At 48.5% G+C, this 24,751-nt stretch overlaps 1 protein-coding gene and 1 non-coding gene across 6 annotated transcripts in view; both read right to left on the reverse strand.

The window, feature by feature from the left end:
• Positions 1 to 24,751, reverse strand: part of DRD2 (dopamine receptor D2) — a 65,794-nt gene that overhangs the window by 16,790 nt on the left and 24,253 nt on the right. The window lies entirely within an intron of this gene.
• Positions 23,629 to 23,694, reverse strand: MIR4301 (microRNA 4301). The gene has a single exon (NR_036183.1). It is a non-coding gene; the product is annotated as a microRNA 4301 (primary transcript).

Here is a 24,751-nt window from a genome sequence, read left to right on the forward strand (position 1 = left end):
TTGGCTTTTCAGCTAACAAAAGTCTTCCTCTTTTACAGAATAGAATTAAACTTATCAGCATTCCAAGGTGTTTCATACAAAGCACATGACTTCCAGGTACTTTGCTACTGCAAATTGAAAACCACCAATTGATGCCATTTGGGATGAATGTGGTGCCATGTCCAATCAATGAACAGGGCACACCTCCAGCAATGGGTCAGAGAGGATGGTGGAAGAGGGTCTGCCCAATCTCCACACTCTCATCCCTGTCTGACACACCCACTCTTCCAGCTTTAGTAGAAGAATATGGATCATGTCCTACCAACCACCATCACTCTGGAGCCTCGGGGAAAAGCAAAGTGCCTAATTCCATGTGGGGTGACATGGAATGCCACCACGCAGCAAATCTTCCTGTTCTAAGGTAATGAAGCATATGTCATATTGATGCTGTATTCTGCAAAACCAACTGAGCCCTCTTCCCATTTGGAGCCCACAGCGGGAGGCCTGCATGTATGTATTGATCAGGTGCCTGGGGCTGCTTCTGACATTCATTTACTCAATCGGCATTTATTGAACCTGCTGGGCATAAAGCACTGTGCAAAGCAGTGTCAGGGGCCTGAGGCGTGTGAGGCACACTTACTGCCCCCATCCTGACCATCGCTCTCTTCTTCTCCCCCCACTCCCTGCTGCTGATGATAGCATCATATACTTGTAAAGGGTTTGATAGTTTGCTAAGTTTTTTGGATATACTGTCTCATTTATCCTCAAAACAACCCTCGGAGGCTTTTAATTATTATCCCTGTCTATGGCCATACTACCTGGAACATGCTTGATCTTGTCTAATTATTATCCCTACTTTAATAAGAAAGGGATTTGGAAAACTCTTCTGTTCACTTCCCTTCCCTCTGCTTTTCCAGTCCCTATGCATCCTTCAAAGTGAGTCTTGCCTAGAATCCTCCTGTCTTAGAATCCACCCATATCCTCCTGCCTGAGCCATCACCCACCCTCCTCAGGGTCCTGCAGCACTGAAACACACCCCAGTGCTGCAGGAGACACCTGTTTAGGAGTCTCTTTTTTTCACTGGGGTGTAGACATCACAAGAGTTACAACATGTCTTGCTCATTCCTCCTCTTGTTCTTGGAATGAACAAATAAAAACCATACTATCTTGTTCTTTCCCAACTCTTGACTCTGGTTTGTGGGCAGTACGTATTCAACAGATGTTTGCTGAACTGAATCAAAGGCTCTGTTAGTGCAACTGGGAAGAAAACCCCTTCCCACTTGAAAGGCACCTGCTAACATAGGCTACCAGATTAACAAGTGATGAAAAAGTAAGGCACCCCAAGGGTGCCATAGGTGCTGCATGTTGGGTCCTGTTACAGTCTGCACTATGCTCTTCCCCCAACCCACAAAATGTATATGTTGAAGTCCTAACCCCCAGTACCTCAGAATGTGACTGTATTAGGATACAGGGCCTTTAAAGAGTTGATTATGTTAAAATGAGACGCTTAGGGTGGGCCCTAACCCAATCTGACTGGAGTCCTTATAAGAGGAGCTTTGGACATAAAAAGAGACATCAGGGATGCGCGCACAGAGGAGAGACCAAGTGGGAATGCAGCAAGAAGGCGGCCATCTGCTAGCCATGGAGAGAGGCCTTAAGCAAAATCAGCCCTGTTGACACCTTGATCTGGGACGTCCCAGCCTCCAGAACTATGAGGAAACAGATTTCTGTTGTTCAATCCACCCAATCTGTGGAATTTTGTCATAGCAGCCAGAGCAGACTAATACAGGTCCCTAGAAGTAGACTCTGAAGAGGAAATCAGCCTGCAGGAAATGTACAGGGGAATGCTCTCAGGATCAAGATGTGCAAAGAAGTGAGGAAGCAGGACAGGCCAGAGGGAGAAGTCACAAGAAAGGCATCAGGTGACCCCACAGGGCACCCTGCCAGTTGCCTAAATGAGGGCAACAGGGTAGGGCCTTTAATCCCCTCTCATAGATGTCACAGCTTCTGGCTGTCCCAGGGAAAGCAGCGAGGCCTTGAAAGAGGCATCTCTCCTCAGCAGTGGGCAATTGCCAAAAACTGTCAGTTGCCAACACTCCCAGTAGATGGGGATGAGGGCTGTGGTCCTGCAGGGGGATCTGGGTGGCACTCCACCGTGTCCACTACAGTTGATGTTCAGGAGCATATGCACATGTGTGTGGCTGGGGCGTTTGTGGAGAACTTCCTGGAGGAGGGAGGATGTAAACTGGGATTTAATTTTTTTTTAATAGAGACAGAATCCCACTTTGCCACCCAGGCTGGAGTGCAGTGGCACAATCATAGCTCACTGCAGCCTCAACTCCTGGCCTCAAGTGATCCTACCACCTCAGCCTCCTGAGTAGCTGGAAATACAGGCATGTGCCACCATGCCTGGCTAATTTTTAAAAATGTTTTGTAGAGATGGGGGTCTCACTATGTTGCCCAGGCTGGTCTCACACTCCTGGCCTCAAGAGATACTCCTGCCTTGGCCTCCCAAAGTGCTGGGATTACAGGCACTAGTCTAGGATTTAAAATTATGAGTACAATGTAGATGGCAAATGTGAGCACTGCAGGTCAGGTGGGGTTGAGGGTGAGCATTCATTCTCTGGAGTGCTGGTTACTTCTGCAGGGTAAGGGAGAGTCCCTGTACCCAAGTTCTGAGAAAGGCCTCACACATTTGATTTTCTAATCTATTATTTATTATTGGTTGTTCTCGTTGCTTTTTGTTGCTAATACAAACGTAGTATATTTACACCATAGGAAAAAAAAGGGAAAACATGGCAAATGCCTAAATACCTGTAACCCCTATAAGTACCTTGGTACAGGGCTATCTTTTTGTCTGTTTGCTTGTTTGGGGGTTTTTTTGTTATTGAGATGGAGTCTTGCTCTGTCACCCGGGCTGGAGTGCAGTGGGGCTATCTCGGCTCACTGCAAGCTCCGCCTCCTGGATTCACGCCATTCTCCTGCCTCAGCCTCCCGAGTAGCCAGGACTACAGGTGCCCGCCACCATGTCCAGCTAATTTTTTTGTATTTTTAGTAGAGACGGGGTTTCACCGTGTTAGTCAGGATGGTCTCGATCTCCTGACCTCATTATCTGCCTGCCTCGGCCTCCCAGAGTGCTGGGATTACAGGCGTGAGCCACCGCACCCGGCCAGTACAGGGCTATCTTTTAACACCTGGTGTCAGTCCTGGTTTCTATCGTGTCTTCAGCACCTTATCTACTTGGGGCTTTCACCTCTCACAAGCAGGGGCAGCCTAGCTGGCTCTCACCATGTAAACATCAAGCTGAGCAGGAATTCAGACATCAGCAAATCCACTGCCACAGAGAAGGTACTCTAGCCTGAGAGGTGCTAGTATAACATTCGAGTTGAGGACTAAAAAACCTGGGTTCAAGTCCCAACTCTACCATTTACTAACTTTGGGGCCTCAGCCAGATTATTTGGCTTTCCTGAGCCCAGTTTTCCCATACACAAAATAGAGATAACAACAATTGTGAGTATTAAGTAAGATGACTCATGGCCATGTGCCAGGCACAGGTAAGCCCTTGAGAATGTCAACTTTAAAAATCAAACCAAGCAAAAGAATGAAATGAAACAAGCAATCAGACCACAAGCCAACGGCTCAGCAAGATGAAGTGACTGTTGCTGTTCAAATGCAGCTCACTAGGGTCTGAGGTCCTCCTGGGCCCACTGCCTCCTATGGCCCATCCTGAAAAATAGGTGGCTAGATGAAGGGAGATGGATTTCAAGATGCAGCCACCAACTCCTTGGGAGGAAGTAAAGGAAGGAAAAGACAAAGCCTGTCCCTGGGCCCTGGCTGTAGGACAAACTCAAGTGACCCTTGAGATGAGGTAGCAGCTGGCCTGGAAGATACAGCTCTCCCAGCCCAGCTGCTATAGCCGATGACTGTCATACTAATCACCACATTTCATAGACTCTAAGACAAAATCGAATGAAGATGCACCACTATTTTATATATCACTAGGAAAGAAAAAAATGCCATCCAACCCCAGTAGAGCTCCAAGATGTCATCCATTGTAAAATGCATTCTGATTTCAGAGACATTAAAATGGTGGGGGCAGGGGGAAGTGCATTGTAGAGTGGATAGCAATACAGGGCCTTCCCAGCATTTCTAAGCTGGTATTTTCTCAAGGGGCCTGAGAAAACCTGCTGGTCCCCAGGCTTCCCTGCTGCAGCTCCAGCCCATCCCTCCCTTTTGTCCTTCTGTCTCCGGGCTGCACAGATTGTTGGGCTCCAAGGGGCATCCCAAAAGAATACACAAGTGAGTAGCTTCTCCATCCTGGCTGGAGCTTGTGTTCATGGTAGCGGAGTGAGGAAAGGTTCTCAGTGCTGCTCCAGTTACGCTGGGCTGGTTCTGGCTCCAAAGAAGCCTGGTGAGTTCTTTGTCCACTCTGGAGCTTGTTGAGGGAAAATGCAAAGCCACATAACACATGGCACCTTGTATTTGCCATGATGGTCCCAATTTCTTGTTCTTTTTTTAAAATGGAGATTGGCTAAATATATAACCCAAGGTGCATTATTCTTACATGAGAAATTTTTTTGAGACAAATAAAGTGGCACAGTATATTTAAAAATCTATTGTTATCAAAACAAGCATTTTGATTTTTGATTGTGAAAATATGATCAACTTGCTCACCACCCTCCAAATGTCATCTCCATCTTTCTCCCAGGTGGCCCCTGGGCATGCATAAAAGCTTACAAAACTCCAAATCACAATCCCCAGTCAACAAGAACTTAGTGAGCACCAAATACATGCATGGACACTGTTATTTTCCAGCTGTTACAGGTTGAGCTACTTGACAGTGTTTCCTGGGTGGAGGATGAACAATCTAATCCTGTAGCTGCCAGGCCTCACTCCAGGGGTGGCTGCCTCTCCCCTAAGGCACCTTTCTGTGCAGGAAAGTGGGGGTAATTGCTGCTCCTCATTCCACCCTCACCATGCAGATGCTTGCAGACAAGGTTCCATGGGTCCTCTGAGGCCTCCTAGGCTTTTCTTTCTCAGCTGCCCTGGTGGAAGCCAGGAGAAAGAGAAGACTGCATTTGTGTGGTGACCTGCAAGCTACTGGTCATCAAAGAGCCAAAGATCTCCTCATCTGTCTCCAGGACTCTTTGCTCTGCCCTAGCTCAGAAGGGCAAAGATCTACAGAAATATCTTTCAGAGTCATCCATTCTAGTGCTCAGGACCCCTGCCTGTCAAGTTCTTCCTAACATCTAGCCTAACTCCAGCCTTCTATAATAGTGGCTCTCTTCAGAAGCTTCAGAGTGGAACTTCCCCAATCAGAGGTCTAGAATGCATCAAGGTGCATAGAAATATTAGGTCAGTTGGGATGTAGAGGCAGGCACTTCCAACCTCAGCAGCTTCTGCTATTCACCCTATATGCCTTACAAATGCTACTATTTTCTGTGCGTGCCCTAATTTGGAAATTAGCTAGCTCTCAAGTTGAGAAGTACTGGAAGAGCCCAGATACCCGGGGCTAAGCTAGCCCACCCAGGCTGCCCCAGGCAGGCCACCCTGCTCAGGCCACCCACTGCACTGCCCCCCAGGAGTAGAGGAGGGGACAGGGAGTGGGCAGGCCTTCTGGGGTATAGATGAGGTATGGAAGGGGCTGCTTTCCCAGTCACGCCCCAAAACTGGCAGGCGCCCCAACCTATAAAGTGTATTGGAAGGGAAAAAAGCTCCTTTAAGGCTCAGCAGTTTGAGGCTGACACCCAAACCTGACATTTTCTCTCAGGAGAAACTTGGAAGGTGTAGCAACACTTAGTCCCCAGGCTGATGGAGTGGGGTGAAAAGGGTCAATCTGTTAGGACAGCCTGGGATCCAGGAAGAAAGCTGGCAGGTCCTGGGAGAACAGAGAGGATTTTCTCTGATCCTCTCTTTCTCTCTCTCTCTCTCTCTCTCTCTCTCTCTCTCTCTCCCTCCCTCTATCCCCACCACCTCATTTCTATTTCATCTGGGGCACAGAGCTAGAAAGGTGGGGGACAGAAGCCCTGGATGCAGCATAAACCCCAGCAACGTGTTTCCTATGCTTCCGTCTCAGCTTAAGTCTTGGTGCTGCCTTCCCTGAAAGTTCGGCACTTGAAGGAATCAAATTGTCTAATTAAAATTTAACAATTCCTTATCAGGCTTGATGGCGGGTGAGACACTCCTGTCTTAAACACATCATTTTTTCCTCTTTTCTGAGATGCAAAGCATTTCAATGAAAAAGTAGAGGGGGAGAAGAAAGCATTTTGTATTTGCATCTCAAAAGCAGCCTACTGGAGTGACTTGAGTTGGATAGGAATTGGGAGTGAGTGGGTAAGAGGTTCCTTTCCAGGACCCTGGCGATATAGGCCACCTGCCCCTACCCCTCCAGGCAAAGGCCAGGCTCTCACTTGGGGTTGGACCTTCTTTTAGCATCTCTTGCAACTTCAAAAAGGCAGCATGGAAATGGAAGAGGGAGGAAAGGTGGTGCGCCCGTTCCTTCCCACATCCAAGGGAAAAGGAGAGAGTTACTGAATAACACTTTTATGTTCTCTGGCCGAGGAGGCAACCTCAGCAGATGGCAGAGGAAATGGAGACCTCATTCCCAAAGCCCTAGGCCAGGCGGCTGCAGACCTTGGGTTGCCGAGGGTGGGAGTGGGTAGATGGACAGGCACAGTCACTGTCTGGAGGGCAAAGCCTCTAAGCCCTGGAGCTGGGGTGTGGAGGGTCTGTGGCGAGGAAAAAAAGGAGGGGGAGGAGAAACAGAAAGGACTGTGGGGACAAAGAGGAACCTGGAGCAATGGACGATGGCAACCTCCTGGGCTCACTGGGAACGGTTTTTCCTGCATCCCAGGCCCGAGTGCACAGGGGAGTGGGGTGTGAGGCTGTGGGTCTGGCCCCGGTGTCAGCAGTCACTCCTGAGGGAAGAAATGCAGATTGCTCTTTCCCTGTTAAGGGGAAGGGCTCCTCCTTCTTGAGCCCCTGGACTCCCCCACAAACCACAGCCTCAGCACTACTGTGGGGGAACAGGTCTGGACTAGAGACCTAGGCTGGGGGATACCCGTTAGTGGAAGCCCAGGGAGTGGCCTGGACTACCATTTGGGGGTGGCAGAGGCTGCTGTGGGAGACAGGGGGAGGCCACACACTAATACCCCATTTGCCCCTTCTCCCCCGGCATGGGGAGCCTCCCTGGAACCTGGAGTTCTTCAGAGGCAGCGAGGCAGCAGAGCTCAGGGACCGCGCAGCAGCTCTTGGCTATGTTATCTGCAGGGAACATTGTCTAGGTTTCTTTAGAAGGCGTGGAACAGCCTGGATGAATCTCTCCACTGGTGGTCTCTGGCTGTGTCTGGCCCTATGCAGCTGGAGCCAGAGAGTGGCTACAATCTCGAGGGCCTTCTGTGGCCCAGCTTGAGGTTGGCAACCCGGGTCGCCTGCTCCAAGCTTCTCCCCCTGCTCCCTGGAATTAAACCTGGCCAGCAGTTCCCAGTCTTACCTCCCACCTCACAGTAAAAATAGAAGCTAGCCTTCGGCACTTTCTCAATTTCCTGTCACCAAATCCATAAACTTACAGGCACAGGCAGCCACATGCACCCTCCTTGAGTCCCAACTCCTAACCCTAAGCCCCTTCCTGCCACTTGGGCTCAGCATAGCACACCCTGGCTGGCCTCCTCCTCCTTCTCACCCTTCAGGACTATCTTTCCAGCCCCTTCTCCAAGGAAGCCTTCCTGCCACTCCAGCTCAGAGCCCGTCTTCTCACTTAATGCTTTCACAACACGTGTGCTCCTCGGTGACACCCAGCACAGGTGTAATGAAGTCAGTATTTGTCTAGAGATTTGTTTGATGTCTGTTCTTCTTGCTAAACTGTGTGCAAGGCTCACATGTGTCTTGTCTCTCCTGGTCTTCTCCCTCCCCAGCACAGCCTTGGCAATAGCACATGCTCCACACGTTTGAGAGACGTCCATGGAGATAGCATCTCATTCAAGGGTGAAGGGGCCAGTCCCTAGGTCTTTTCCTACCCTGCAGTCATTTCTCCTCCCAGATCCTTCGTGAAGGGTACAATAGCCTCTTCTGAGATCTCCTGTTGACCCTCTGGGTCCCAGTCACAGTGGTAGCTGGGGTTGGGTGCCCAGCTGGTTCGGGTCCTTGCAGGGTGTTTCCCAGGTGGGCATCACTGTGGCACAAAGGTGTTATAAGGCATTGGAAAAAGAAGAAGAGGCACACAGATGAAAGTGAGTGTGGGGATGTGGGGAGGTGGGGAGAGGTCATAGCCAACACACAGTCTGTGGAAAGAAAAGCACAGAGCTGGTAGAGATGGCTTCTGGGCTTCTGGAAGGCCCAGGGCTTCAGAGTGTCCAGGTTGGCAGCACCCTGTGGGAGGGAAGTCACAGCAGGCCAAGGGAGCCATCCCCCCCCATCAGCACCAGCCAGAGACTACCAAGCATCCACAGTGAGTGAGCTGAGTGCAGCTGAGACTCAGTTCTCTATGGAGCACAAGGGTGGGGTGGGGGTGTCCCCAGGGGGAGGCTGGAGCACGCACAGTTCCTTGCCCAGCTATCGAAAGGGCCCCTGTGTGAGACTTTGTCTAGGAGCAGAGGAGACCACAGCTGAGCATGACCAGGCCTCCCCTTCTCCAGGGCTCTCATCCCAGACAACCCCGCTCTCTGCTTCTTCCCAAGGTGGCCAGGTGGCCCTGGGCCTGCTCAGGTGTCCCTGGGAGTGTGGCATCTCTGAGAGGCCTGAGCAGCAGCAGAATTTGAGTCTTCCCAGCCTTACCTTGTTGCAGGCCTCCAGGGTCTGCAGCGGGGTGAGGCAGGGTCTGGGAGATGCAGTGAATGCAGGAAGGGGTGTCTGCCTGACAGCCCCATCCCTGCAGATTTTGATGGCTCCGTAAAAATGTCTCCTCATAAACTGTCAAAGTGTCACAAATTAATTAACTGTTAGCTAGAGTGACTCAGTGTGGGGGGGGGTGGGGGAGAATGGCTCAGTGATGCTGAGCGGGGTGGTGGCGGTGCTGTTCTCTGCGTGTGCTGCCTTTTGATTAAAAATCCTCACCGCTCCGATACTGTGTGAGGGAAGGGGCAGATCCCTGGGGCAGCTCACGTGCACTGCAGAAGACTGGTGGGTGGGAGGCAGGTGGAGGTGTGGGGCTGGGGCCCCCTCCCTGAGAAGGGAACACAGTGGGGAGAATGAAGCCTCTAGAAATTGCCCAGGAGATCTAAATTCAGAATGGAGCCCACAGACTGGCACTGTATTCCTCCCCCCGCCCCCCCACTTTCCCTTCCTCCTCAATTTGCCCCCACAAAGAAAAAAATCTGGGAAGTTGAGCTTGGTTTGCCCCAGGGGCTACACAGGGTCACCTGAGCCAAGGACATACTTAGCTACCAAACTCCTGCCAGCCAGAGCCCAGAGAGGAGGAAGGGCTGGGTCTTAGACCAGCCTCCTTGACCTTTACTTTAATTTCAGGAAAGAATTGAGAAAACATGCTCTTGAAAGTCAATTGGGAGACAAATCCTGAACCTTATTGCTCCAGATGGAGGAAAAACAATCCTGCCTATTTGGCAGAAAATTGTTCTTCTTTATTAAAAGACATTCCTGTTCATAAAAACAGAGAGAAGGCCCAGTCCAAATAATAGCACAACCCACGATCACACTGCTGGAAACCTCCGGAAGCCCTTGTCCCCACGTTTCTCATCCTTCGGCTCCAGCAGGCTGACACCGGGGACCTTTCTTTCCCATTTGGCAAAGGCGATGGGAGGCCTTCTTGCAATGGAGGGGTGGGCAGGCAAGATGGGACTTGAGGACTCCCACACAAATACTGTTTTGGTGTCAAGACCTCAAAGACGAATTGAAGGTAAAATTTCACCACAGGAATGCAATCAGTAAAATCCAGATTGCAGAAAATACAATAGGACAAATGACCCAGTTTCTTCCAAAAATAAATTGCAAAGAAAAAAAAGAGAGATGGAGTGGGGAGAGCCTCTAGAATAAAATAAACTTTAAAGCCATCTTCACCAATTGCAATGTGTGGGCCTTAGTTGGATGCTGATTCAAAGAAACCAATTTTTTAAAATCCCTGAAATTTAGGGGACAATTGAAAATCTAAACAGTAGATTTTTTATGATATTCAGAATTATTGATATTATGGCATTCTGGTGAATTTTTTTAGAGTCCTTATCCTTTAGAGATACACACTGAAATATTTACAGATGAAATTATATGCTGTCTGGGAATTATATGAAAATAGCATAGGGGTAGAAGCATAGATGGAAGAAAATTGGCCATAATTTGATCGTGGTTAAAGGTGGGTGATAGATACATTGAGGTTCATGACGCTATTCTTTTTAATTTTGTATATGTTTGAAATTTTCTATAACAAAATGTTTTAAAATATCTAATCTGCTCCTTAACCCTCACCCCAGCGCCCATCCCTAAGAAAACAGATGGGTGCAAGCCAGGCTTCAAGGTATCTTTCTGATCAAGTTCTCTTATTATGAACACTGGCTTCCTTTTCTGCCAGTCTGGCTGCCAGACTCTCCCTCTGTTTTGATCACTCCATTGCCCTGTCCAGGACAGATGGAGCCCTGGGGACGAGCCCTGGCAACCCTTTCTATGGCCTGGGATCCTTTCTCATGACATAACAGCTTTGGCCTAATAAGTCATGTCCTCTCTTTCACAGCAGGTGGCGGCTCAGCTGGTAGGGATGGAGGTGGGAGGGTAAAGCCCACTTTAATGACAAATAGAACAGCTACTGAGCACCTATTGCAGGCCAGGCACCACGTGAAGTGCTGGGCACCTACTATTTCATTTACTCCGCATAGCAGCCCTGTGAGATTAGATATGATCCCCATGCTACAGACAAAGAAACAGGCAGTGGGTTGTGAACATCAGTGGATCTGCCTGCAGAACCCAGACTCTTCCTTACACCAGGAGTTGAGTATGGATCTAGGGTACGAAGAAGTAAGGTTTTCACAGTCCTGTGTCCGAGGCACATCTACACGGTTCCTTCATGGGGATGGGCAGGGTCTCACCCCTCCAGGCTGGTAGGTGTCAGACTGGTGTCCACAGAGCCCCCAAAGGAACTTCTCATATAATTATATGAGGGAAGAATTATATGAGCCTTATAAAGAGGGAAGTTGAGGTCCAGGCCATAGCCAAGTTTCCTCAGAATTCTAAGTGACTTAGGCAACCTCATGTTTTCCAGAAATGACACTCTTAGTGTCTCCAGGACATGGGGCTACTCTGACAAGGGAGCTCCGAGGAGCACAGGGCACGCTGGAGTCCAGGTGGAGCCAAGGAGCACAGGGCATGCTCGAGTCTGGGTGGAGCCGAGGAGTGTGGGCAAGAGCTGGGGTCCCTCATCCTCTCTCAGCTCCTGGGGCTGCCTCTGGGTCCATCTGGCAGGCCAGGCTCCTCCCCAATGCTCCCTTTCATTCCACAGGGTGTGCGTCCACCACCAAGGGTGGCACTGTAGGTCTGGGCATCTTGCTTTGCCTGGTCTTCTGCTACCTCCCTCAGAGGAGGGGCAACATGGGCACAACAGGGAAGAGAGCAGAGAGGCAGTCTCCTCATCCCGACAACAGACTGGGGGGTGCAGAGGAGCCCCCAGCTGCCTCTCCCAGTTGATGGAAGCAGGTTGGAAGAGCAGCCACAGTGCTGGGCACCATCCTGAAAACAGGCTGTGCACCCACTGCTGCTGCATACCACTCCACATCCTGGGGCCAACATTGAGGCCTTCCTAAGCAGTGATGCCCAGGATACAGAGGAGTCACTTCCTCTGTCCCTGGAATTGAAGAAGGTGTGTCAATGCGTCCTATTTTTATTGTTTTTTTTTTAATCAGACAGACAACAGCTAGATCTGGGTTCCAGTCCCACTTGGTAGCAGTATGGCCTTGACAATGAAATTGTTCTGGGCCTCAGTCTTCTCATCTGTAACATGGGGGCAATAACATCCTCCTCATGGGAGTGGTTGCAAAATTGACTTAGAAAATGTGAATAAAGGGGCCAGTAAGTGGTAGGTGCCCAATAAGTGGCAGCTAATGTCATTACAAGGTTGCAACAGCTGCCGGAAAGGAGCTGAGCTGTGTGAGGGTCACAGGCAAAAGACTCAAGCTGGAATGAGGGGCCCAAGGGAAAGAAACTCCCCATTTCTCTGTGACCCCCAATTTTCTGCATGCTTCAGAGAGATTCCAGCCATGCCTACCATGTTGTTCCCACTACTCACCCCTGAACTAAAAGCCCTAAAATATCAGGGCACCTGGCAGGTGACCTTGGTTAAAGTCCTTTTGGGGTGTGTCATGCAGATTTGCAACAACCCTGAGCCTTCCCTCTAAATCTTTGAGAAAAAAGAAGTCCTACCTGGCCTGTAACCTTCCTGGTAAATCTAAGGATGCAACAGCTATGAGACATCTCTGCTACTCAGGACAGAAGTAGGACCAGCATGAGATGTGATAAGGCTTGGCAGACTCTATCAGGTATCATGCAATCATCAGCACTGCATTATTATTGTCTCACTGTGTGGATGTCTGACATGCAGAAGGAAAATCCAGTTCCCTTGGATGAGCCACTTCTCTAATTCTCAACTTAATAGTTAATAATTTAATGATGAGAGCTGTCAGACCTAATTTCAGAGAGTGATAGATGAATCAAGTAAAATGATATATTCCAAAGTGTCTTGCAAACTCTAAAGTCCCATAAAAATGTGAATGTAGTGTATTATTATCGTCTCACTCAGGAGCATGTAGTTGGTGGTATTTCTTTGCCATGCACAGGTTCTTCGGTACCTACATTGCTCTGCATCTGTCCTTTCTGTCTGATGCATCTGTGAGCCTTAATGGGCAGAGTTTGTCTTAAACCTATGTGTATCTTTAGCATCTCCTAGGAAGGCTACCAGTTTTGTAAGTGCTTCCTGGATGTTTGTTATGCTGGAGGAAGCTGACAGTGACGGTGCTCCTTTGAACAGCCTAAAACAGGACGAGACTCCCTTCTTCGTGGGGTTATCATAAAGATTAAACAAGACACATCAAGCCACTAGCACAGTCTCTGAGAGAGAGAAGGCACTCAGTTGTTCCTATTTTAATGGTAGCTAACCTGGAAAAATATAGAATATTGACTTTTACTGCTGGAAGAAGCCTTAGAGAATATTTAATCTAATCTCTTCATTTTACAGATTAAAAAACTAAGACCAGGGCTGGGCATGGTAGCTCACACCTGTAATCCCAGCACTTCGAGAGGCTGAGGCAGCTAGATCACTTGAGGTCAGGAGTTCGAGACCAGCCTGGCCAACATGGTGAAGCCCCATCTCTACTAAAAATACAAAAATTAGCCTGGGTGGAGGTGGGCACCTGTAATCCCAGCTATTCAGGAGGCTGAGGTAGGAGAATCGCCTGAACCCGGAAGGTAGAGGTTGCAGTGAGCCCAGATCACACCACTGCACTCCAGCCTGGGTGACAGAGGGAGGCTCTGTCTCAAAAAAAAAAAAAAAAAAAAAAAAAAAAAAAAAAAAGCTAAGAGTAAGACCAGGAAAGTGAAATGACTCACCCAGGTTCATAGAGCCTATTGCTTTCAGAACCAGGATTGCAATTAAGGTCTCTAGACAGGTCCCCTGCTTTATCCTACAGGGCTCTCTGACTCCTGGAAAGGGCTCAATCCTTGTCACTACCATCCTGGTCACTGTAGGATCATCATCATCTGCATCTTCAAGGAAATGAACTTAAGGAGAGTAATTCTGGAGCCTCCATGAGTGCCTCTCCTGAGTCCAACTTACCTTTATGCAACTTCTGTGTATGCTCGCCTCGCCCAGATACCTATCCTCAGCAGAGACAGGCTCAAGTGGCACTCAGGAACAATGCATACATAGAAAGTCCCACCTAGCCAGTTCTTTTCCAGGCCATAAACTTTTCTTTTAACCTTTCTTTGCAAGGGCTGTTTTCCAAGCACTCCCTCTCTTTCTGTCCTCTGGATATTGATAAAGGCATGCACTTACAGGAATGTGCTCAAAGATGATTCCCCCCAGACTTTCAGGGAGAAGCTCAGGGCCATGGGGCCTGTTAGGTTTCTCTGCGAAATGCTACTTCTTGAAACTATTTCTTTGGGAGGTTTTCTGTCCCATTCTGTCCCAGGAGCCTGGGAAAAAGGCTGCGCCTTTGGATGTTTTGCTCAGCAGCTTGACATGGGCCATGATGGGGATAATGGCAGAGGCAAATAATGCAAATCCCAAGTGCTTCATTAGATATGAAGATGAAAGGGCATTCCCAGGCATGAGAGCTACTCTGCCACCCAGGATGATGGGATGCAACCAGGGACCCTGCTCACACCAGTACCTCTTTGGATAAGAAATCGAGATATTTTACTCCAGAGATCCACTTATGAGGGGGCAGAAAGGAGAGAAATGGAGAGGGCACCCCATTGGGAACACCCCAGACTAGAGCCACCATGCTGGTTTCTGATCTTGAGAATTTCAGAGGCAGAATATAAACACTTCGGTCTTACCTTGGGGCTCCTGGGACACAGATGAGCTAAGTTTTCTGAGCCTGTCATGGCAAACAACATAATGTTGCTAATCAAACTTCCTGTGCGCCCACCCAATTTGATAAATCAGCCTTTTGATGCACTAAGTGAAGATGAATTAGCAGTAATGAGGCTGTGACAGCTCCCTGAGGCACAGGTTGACAGAGAGAGCTTTGATGGCTGTGGCAAGAAGGAGGAGAAGCTCTTCTCAGGGATCAGTTCAAGCTGCCAAGTTTGTGCAAATAACCCTCCAATGGATGCTGAAGTCATCTGAGAACCAGATGTTTGCTGTCTTCCTACAATGAGCCACATGCCATAAGCCCCAACTTATGGGCAGACCATAACATGGAATCAACCCATTCTGTTATGTGGGAAATGGAGGCTGGCAATGGCAGCCTGCTAAAACCTTTTTCCTTTGCAAGGCTGCCTACTACACAGCTAGTCTCCAACAGCCCAGCAATGGAGAGTTGGTACTGGTTAGCTAATCTCCTTCATGCCCAGGGACTGCAAACTGGTAGCCTATGGACCACATTTAGCTTGCATACAGGATTTGTTGGGCTCACATAGCATTGTTGAAAAACTGGCATTTTATTGCCAATATTTACAATTGGACATTTCACATTAAAATACAGATATCTAGCTTCTTTTACAAGAAGAATCATAAAATCTTGGAAACACTGGGTCAGCATTCTTGCATGGCAACAACAAGCTGGGGTCGTCCAGATAGTCCCCTTTATACAAGGCACACACCGATTGAAGAAAGCAGAGGACAGCCCGGCTCATGAGGAATGGACTGTCTCCACACTCCAAGGATGGAAAAAGAAGCTACACCTTGGTGGCTCACGCCTGTGATCCCAGTACTTCAGGAGGCCGAGGTGGAAGGATCACAAGGTCAGGAGATCAAGACCATCCTGGCTAACACAGTGAAACCCCATCTCTACTAAAAATATAAAAAATTACCCTGGAGGCTGAGGCAAGATAATCACTTGAACCAGGGCGGTGGAGGTTGCAGTGAGCTGAGATCGCACCACTGCACTCCAGGCTGGGTGACAGAGTGAGACTCTGTCTCCAAAAAAAAAAAAAAAGCTACACCTCCACGCTTGTTCCCCACATCCCCCGTATATGGTGAATTTTTTCAGAGTCCTTATCCTTTAAAGATAACGCACTGAAATATTTACAGATGAAATTATATGCTATCTGGGAATTATATGAAAACAGCATGGGTGTAGGGGCATAGATGAAAGAAAATTGGCCATAATTGCCTTAGCTTGGAAGTGGCCAGACCCCAAGGCTTTGGCAGAAGCCAAGGCAGAGATCCCTCCCTCCAGTCATTATGTCCAGTTCCACACATGCTCTCAAGTTTACCACAATCCCCAGCCATCCTTACAGCCCTGCACCCAGCTGGTTTCACTCAGTTTACATTAACTACCAGGTCCCAGAATGTATCTAAGTTTGTGCCCCGTGTTTTATAATAGTTAGCAGGGGTAACTGAGTTGCTATTATGTTGCTGAGCTACAAAGGCTGTGTCTGAATGATGCTCTCAGATCCTCTCACCTAATCCTCCCCATCAAGGGGTAGCGGCAGGAGGAGGAGCACTCTTGAGGCTAAGGAGGCTTGAGGCAACACTGGTGGCTTTTGAGCAAAGTGTTGATTTTCTCACCTCCCCAGCCCTGCCTGGAGACTTCAGCCCTGTGTCTGGAGGCCCCTGTTTCTTCAGAAACACAGCTCCTTTAGGTTCCTTTTCTTCCCTGCTGATATTCCATGGGACACAGCAAACACAAATCTCTCTCCCTAAAGGTTCCATTTGCTTTAGACTTTCTACGATTGATCATCTAATTACCTTTGCAGCCCAGGAAGCGCTAATCTCTTCAGCAACTGAGGTGCGTGTCACAGATTGAAACAAAACATTCCATCTTCCTGGCATGAGGCAAATCGAGGTCTGGACTCTACCGCATGCATCAGCTTGATAGGCAGGGCTGCTGGTGACCTGGGAGAGGGGCCTGCCCATTACCTTTGTGCCTTTTTTCCTCCATGCAGTGCTGGGCTCCCCGAGGGAAGGCTGGTTCTGTCCCCCTCTTTTCTTATCTGTAAGCCTAACAAATATGCTAGGGTTTGCGTGATGGGGGAGAGGAGGATTCTGGTCCCCTTCACGACCAATGCTGATGACAGTGAACAAGTGGATCCAGCTGCTACTGGTCCTTTCAACTTCTATTTCAGAAAACACCAGCATCTCTGTTACCAGGCTTATTTGTATGCTTGGGTTGTTTGAGATGATGAGGCTCAGTGGTCTCAGCCTCTTGCAAATTCCTTTCTCACCATGGCCTCTATTGCTCATCTGAGGCCACCTCCTCCGAGAAGCCTTCTGTGATCTATTTTTGGGCAAATTATTTATTCCTCTTCAATTTCATAGTACACTATTGGCTCTTCTTGGCACTTGTGGTACCAAAATCTGCAAGTCTGTCTCTCTCCTCTCCTATGCTCTTTAAGAACAAGGCTTGTATCTTATTCATCTTTTGCTCCTGGGGTATCCAGCGCATTTTAGCACAGTGTGGCGCTCAGCAAGGACAACTAACTTGAGAGGAAAGATACATATTAGAAGCTCTCTAGTGACCTCCAAGTTTTGGGCAGATTGGATTAACCATCGCTCTCCAATCACTGTTTTGGGAAAGGACGCTGACGGATGTGCACCGCACACCATATGTTCCCTTCCAGGACCCTGTGCTCTATCTGTCCTCCTAGCATACCAGGAGAGCTGTCAGCTCGCCAGGCAGTTAGTCCTCTGCCAAACCTGTGTACACCAGTTCTTGTCATTGTCATTAGTTTAGCTCACTATTTCATAAACAATGAAATATGGATGCCAAGTCAAAATATTGATCCATGAAAACTAAGTGGAATGCATTGGGAAAAATTTTGATAAAGAAAAATTGCTAAAAACAAACAAACAAAAAACCTAACTAGTTATCTAATATGCAAATGAGATAACTGAAAATTCTTAAAATCTAAGCGTCTACACTATATCATTTTGTAAGTTTAAGTCTTTGCTGTGCTTTAAAAAATAAAACTAAAAAAAACTGGAAGCTGTAAGTAAAGTACTATGGGCACACTTAAGCAAATAGGGTGAGGCAAGACTCCAGTTGATGAATTTGTTTTTGTTGTTGTTGTTGTTTGTGTTTTTGTTTTTCTTTCTCACTCTGTGGCCCAGGCTGGAGTGCAGTGGCACAATTTCGGCTGACTGCAACCTCCGCCTCCCGGGTTCAAGCGATTCTACTGCCTCAGCCTCCAGAATAGCTGAGATCACAGGCATGCACCACCACACCCAACTAATTTTTATGTTTTTTAGTAGAGACAGGGTTTCACCATGTTGACCAGGCTGGTCTCAAACTCCTGACCTCCAGTGATCTGCGTGCCTCAGCCTCCCAAAGTGCTGGGAGTATAGGCATGAGCCACACCCAGCTGGTGTATTTGTACTCAAAGAAATGACCCAAGATATGAACAGAACGTTTGGTAAATGAATGTACATGAATGCCCTAAGGTAAAATGAAATGATTGGAGTATCATTTTTAAATGAATTCCCTGTTTAAAGAACTTTTGAAATCAGTCAATCCACCATACTGAATATGAGGGCTTCTGCTGTACTGACTGGCCAGCATATCAGCTTTTTCTATCTATGTTCAGTCTCTAACGGGGCTGTATGTTCCTTGAGGAAATTACATGGCTTACACATCCACAACCTGAATGACTGTCTTTTACACTCCATGGGCCATCTATAAATGGTGGCTGATGATGACGGTGATTGCTCCTTTATTCACCACACATTTGCTGAGCCCCTATTATATGCAGTGCTGATTAGGGACTAAGGGTACAACGTTGAACAAGAGAGGCAAGCTCCATTGTCCTCACGGAGGCCACCATCTGGATAGAGGTACTAGCTCGACAGCTGGGGCTCTGATATGAGCACAAGCCAGACCAGTGAGTAGGAAAGAGGGTGCACATTTTGCAGAGAGGGTAACGTGGCTAATGTCACACACTAAACAGATGAACTTCCTGCCACTTTTGTAGCTGCATGGGATCTTTCACTGCACGGGACAGATTTTTGGCAGAAGCAAAGGCTCTGGGAGTCTAGCAAAAATAAGACAGCAGAAAAATATTAAAGCAAGACTGCAAAACTCAGTGCTGCACACTCCATCACAAGTGTGAAAATAGCTCCACATTCTGAAAACACCTGACCAGCACTCTTCAAAAATCTCAAGGTCATGAAAGACAAGGAAAGACTGAGGAGCTGTCACAGATTACAGGAGACTCAGATGTGACAACCAAACCATGTGGGATCCTGGATTCGATCCTGGGCCAGGAAAAGGACATTAGTGGAAAAACTGGCAAAATGCAAATAAAATCTGTCATTTAGTTAATAATATTGAGCCAATGTTATTTTCTTAGTTTTGATCATCACTCTGTGGTTATATAAAACGTTCACTTTAGGGGAAGCTGAGTGAAGGGTATAGGGGAACTCTCTGCACTACTTTGCTACTCTTCTGCAAGTCTAAAATTATCTCGAATGGAAAACAGGCATTCACACAGGCACCTCCGATACCCAGGTATCTGTGTGAAGGGGCTGTCCAGGCCTTCCTGAGGCATCGTATCCTCCTCCCACCTGCAGGCAAGGATGCAGAAACTTTTTCCAGGCAAAGGGGAGGGTCCTCTTCTCCTTCACCCTTGGATGGAGCAAATATCAAGTATCTGTCCCACATGGTGCTGACTGCGCATGCAAGGGGCAGGAGGCAGAGAAGCAGAAAAGGAGGAGAGGGGAATTAATATCTGTCAATTGATCCATTTTTCGTAGCCATCATTTTAAGCACCTACTGTGTTCCAGGCATAGCAACCCTCCTTATACATGTGCTCTCCATGAATCCTCATCACGTCTCCATTTCCCAGGAGACGGAAGCCCAGAGAACTTCAAAAATTTATCCACAGTTCTAGCTGCTAGGTGATAGAGGCAGGACTCTAACAAGCTCAGCCTGTCTCCAGAGCCACTGCTGGCTACAGAGATGCTGGGGGTGGCCTGGCCTTGGAGGCATTTTCCAGCCTGTTCTGGAGCATTTCCAGGGGCCTGGGTCCGTGAGTTCCAGTGAGTTGCCTGTTGTCCTGGCCCAGTAAGTTTTTCTCTGTGTCTGACCTGCAATTGTCCCCTTGCTTCCTGCCAGACCTCAGCGGCATGTTTCACTCCTCCTGGGACACATGGACCCCACTTCATGCATGGGAAGTACATGGAGGGTCTTCAGCTCCCCCTTCCCACTCGCCCCTTTCCAGAAGCCCTGATGACAGATCTGATACAGTCACCCCACCTCCATGGATCCCACCCTAGTTCCCCAGGCACTCTCTTCATCCAAACTCCTTAGAGTCACGTCTGCTGAAAAGACCAGTTTCTACCCCCGGCGCTGAGTCAGACACAGAGTTGCTGTCAGAACTGGAGAAAACACAGCAGTCATAGTAACGGTAGCTCCTGTTTATTGACTGTTCACCGTATACTGGACACTGTCTTGCACACTGTACACACCTTTGTCCTAATTCTAAAAGCAACCTTAAAAGGGAAACATTACTAATCCTTTTTCACAGATAATGCCAATGGGGCCAAGGGAGTTCCTTTAATAACCTATGTCAACTAGGAAGTGGCAGTGGAGGATGGAAGACTGGGTTTGTCTAGTTGCAAAACCTCTGTTTCCACAGTGGCAATGAGGCACCCCCTACTAACATTAACATACTGCAAATGCAAGATGGGATATTTGGAAATAGTTTACCCATGTTGCTGCTAAGCCTCATAATAATCCTGTAAATTCAATCCCATGTCCCCACTGTACAGTACACATTGATGCAAGTAGTTGTGAAAATGAGAAACAGAGAGAAGTCCTGTGGAGGCACGTGGCTGTAAGAGCACCATTTAGGAACTCAGTGTTGGTGGCGAGTGAGGATGAGGCCAACACTGACAGTAAGGCATATTCCCTGTGTTTCCAAAGTGGGAGGGGTCTTCAAGGAACCATCACACCATTGCCACAGGAGCTGATGGCTGATAGGACAGAATTCCTAACTTGCTGCTGTGGGCTTCATCTGCAGTCTTGACTCCTAAGCAGCACTCACACCAGACAAGAAGAGGGCTGCACAAATGCTGAACAAACTCAGATCTGTGTAGATGCCCTCAGGGAACTTGGGATCCTCTAGCATGTCATAGCCCTTGCAAGTCCAAACCTGCCCACTTCTGCTCCAGCCTCCAAAGACAGCAGCCCCACCCTCCCCGGGGCCTGGGGTAAAGTCGGGAGGCCCGCTGGGCTGCACGGCCACACTCTGTTCTGTTGTGCCCATGTCTGTCCCTGCTGCTGCTGCCCTGGAATTGCTCAGGCTCCGTGATGTTGTTCTTTAAATCATAAAATCCTCTCCCCGCTCCTGTGCCTTTCCTGGGGGAGCTCTCTCGGGCTTTTAATTGAATTTGCAGTTTCTGGCACACCCCTGTTACACAGAATGCTTGGTATGGGCAGATGGAAGTGCCCATGAGAATCAAAACAAGGAAACTTTGACAGGATTCAAGGCTTCCATACCACCCTCTGAAAAAAAAAAAAAAAGGAGAGAAAGAAAGAAAAGAAAGTGCTGCTTGTTCCAGCACCTGCAGAGGATGCGAGCCAGCCAGCAAATTCACTACTCACCTTGCATATGAACGAACAAACACACACGGGTTTGGTGGGCAACAGAGAAGGCAGGCGGAACTCTGGGGTGTGAGTGGTCCATGAAGCAAGACAGACAGACATGGGGCGGGGTGTGTAGGGACTGAATTCTGACAGGCAGTCAGCATCTGGCTTCTGGCCCCTGCTCTGCCCCACATTTCCAACCATGTGACCTCAAGCAAGTGGCTTCCCTCTTCTGGCCCTGGATGTCCTTTTGTAACAAACATGTGTGGCCACATCAGAGGACACACAAGGCTTCCTCCCACCAGTCCTAAGATTCTAATCTGCCATGATGCGATCTCCAGCCTTGTCCATGTTGAGGGGCCAGTAGCTGAAGGAGGGAGCTCAGGGTGCCCAGGCCCTCCCTGCTTGTCAGTCTGGGGACAACTGTCTATTGTGGTTAAAGCAGGTGTCTGAGGCCATGATGAAGGTAAGATCCCACAAAGGGATACTGAGGGGGCTCTAGATGGTGTCTGGCAGCAGAGAATGTAGTCAGAGGACCTTCAGGCTAGGAAGTCATCATCACTCTGCGAGATGGAACCACGAAACAGGGAGTGAGTGAGTCACCAGAGATAATGAGCTCCGAGGCAGGAAGATGCAGGAGTCTAATGACGTTCTTTTCCTGTCCTGATGAGATCTCTTGTCCATAGGCCAGTAGAGCACCCAAGCCCAGAGCAATGGGTAAGGGGGTCTGACTTCAACCTGGGGCAGCCGCTCCTTGGAAGGAACCAGGCAGCAACTGTGATTCCAGCATCCCAGCCCAGCCCAGATGCACGGTGGCTGAAAACCACGCCTCAAGCTCCGGGGGAACTCCCTGGCTATTCTTGGAAACACAGAGACTCCTGGCTCCCTGTCAGAGCTGCTCCCCACTCTAAAAAGCCCAGGAGTCACTGCTACAATATTTTTCCTTCTGAAGGAGGTGGCATCTCAGTAATTGCAACGTGATGCTCTCTTGACAGCAGTATTAATCACCTGTCTTCATCTCAGCCCCAGCCATGAGAGAGGAACAGGAGGAAGACAGAGCCAGAGGGCCTGGTGTTGTTCACTGTCCTCATCCAAGGGCACGGGTACAGCAGTCTATTCTGTCTCTTCCTCAAGCTCATTGTCACTTCCGAGAGGGGACTGGGGTCAGGCCTCATTCGGGTTCCCTAGAGTGGAAAGGATTGGTAAGGAGCTGGGTAGCTCTCCTTGGCCACCTCTAAAGGAGCTGCACCACACTGGGCCTGCGAAGAGGAGACCAGGCCCACAGACCCAGGCAGGATGGAGGAGATGGGAGGGGTCAGCAGGGGGCCAAATTCAAGAGTTTCTTCTCAACCCTACCTTTAGCCTGCCTTCCTGACCATCCTGCACATGCCCACCAAGTCCACCTCCCAAAGCCATGGCTTCAGGCTCATGTCACCGCCTCGCTCAAAATATCTTCTATGACTCCCCTGAAGGGAAAAGTCCAGATTCTTTAGCTCTCTGTCTTTGATCTTCCCACATTACCTGCTGGCCCCTCCTGTGGACAGGCTAGACTGCAGCTGGCGTTGATCTAGTCTGTGACTTTTGTACCCCTCGCTTCCCCTCATCCTCCTTTGAATGCTGCCATTTCTCCACCTGCCTCCCCATTCCCAACTGTCCAAATCCTTCCAACTCTTCAAAGGGAAAAGCCCACCTCCTAGAATAGCCTTCCCTGAACCCTCTGAGCTCATCAAGACTTCTTCCTGCTGTGCTCCCATAGAGTCTGATATGGGAGGCTCTGCCAAGGTAATATTGTAAAGTTGAGGCATGTCCCAGACCCCTGGGGGAGGAGGGAAACTGAGATGCCCTGGGAAATTGGGCAGGTGAGACAGGAAGGCCTTGGCATTCATGACGTTTGGACATGTCAAGCACCTGTGCTACACAAGTGAGTTGGGAACTGTAGGCGTCCTTCCAACATGAGCAGATCATGTGAGCCAAGGGCAGGCTTGGAAAAGCATAATGCTGCTTCCCCCTGAGCACATGCCATCATAGGTGCACAGTAAAACTTCTAGATGAATAAATGCTGGGCTAGCAGAGTGACGGCCATAACACGGAGCTGCTCCCACCAAGACGGTGTCAGCCATGGGAGGACTGTTAGCCAGTTAAGCTGTGATTTTAAGCTGGAGTAACAGTTGAAGAGAGTGCAGAAATGGTCTGAATACCTAGCAAGTGGATATACTCAGACAAGCCGGATGGGTCTTCCAAGAATTGGAGCCAGAGAGAGACTACCAGAGAAGCGAAAATTCACCCCAAAGTCAGAGCAAAATGGCTGAGAGCCAAGAAAGAAATCAGGGGGCGGTGTTTAGTGAGCAGTTGTGGGTAGAACTGATTGCTCCCTGAGCTACCGTTCAGATTAGCACCAGCCCTGCTGTTCCACTTGTCTCGCTGTGCAGTTCATATCTCTTCCATTTTGTATGCACTTATTCCCAGCATCCAGAGCTGCACCTGCCACCCTCCACGAATGCAATGTTCACAAGTGAAGTAGTGGGAGGTGGCTGGTAAACTGGAGAGAATGGGATCCTTAGTCTATTGTTGCCATTTGAGAATGGAAACAATATTTCAAAAGAAGACAGAAATTGGAACTTTTATTTGAAATCTCCCTATCATGAAATCCCGGCAACTAACTCATCACACTAGCTGAGCCAAAGCACTTCCAGCTTGCATCCTCTACTCACACCATCTAAAACACCAATGCCAAACAAGCAACCAGAGCTAACAACATTGTTGTGCTTTTTGAAGGCCTCGAAACAGCCCTCTGACCAAGCAGGGCAGGGTTATTACTCCCTCTTTAGGAGTTGAAGAAGCTGGCCCAGAGAGGCTTCTCTATTTGCACAAGATTACTCAGCTAGTTAGTAGCAAAGGCAGGATCAGAACTCACATCTCAACATTCTGCCTCAAAGGCTCCTCTCCCAAACCCCACCTTGTCTCCACAGCCTAATGGACAGCAGAGCCAAAGCAGTTAATAAAATAGTCTGAGACCAACAGTGTTGGCTAGGTGATCATGGTATCCTTAGCAGAGAAATAGATAGGCAGTCTACTACATTCTCACTCAATCTCTTTAAGTAGAAGAGTTCTATATCAAGTGATCAGAAGTCTAACTTTCTTCACCAAAACAGAGAGTTATGGCCCCTGATTAATTCCCAGATTTGAGCCAATTGACAGATGCAGAACCCGTAAATGAAGGAGAGATTTGGTCCTCTTGAGGAAGACCCCTGCCAAAAATTTACATTGTTAATATTTCTCCCAGCTTTCTCCAAACGGACCACTCCTTACCAGGGTAACTATGCATTGGGAAAATAAAATAGACTTTTGGAGGATTACTAGATTAGGTGAGGGCTCTGACCAGGCTCTAATGACACTAATTCCTGGAGACCCAAAACATCACTGTAGCCCCCAGTCAAAGGTGGGACTTCTGGAGGTCAGGCAATCAATGGAGATTTAGCTCAGTTCCTTCTCACAGTGGGTCCAGTGGGTCTGTGAACCCACCCTGTAGTTACCTCTCTGGTTCCAGAACACATAATTGGAATAGGCATATTCAGCAACTTGCAGAATCGCCA

The sequence above is a fragment of the Homo sapiens genome, chromosome 11 (genome assembly GCF_000001405.40).
Source record: "Homo sapiens chromosome 11, GRCh38.p14 Primary Assembly".
Lineage (NCBI taxonomy): Eukaryota > Metazoa > Chordata > Mammalia > Primates > Hominidae > Homo > Homo sapiens.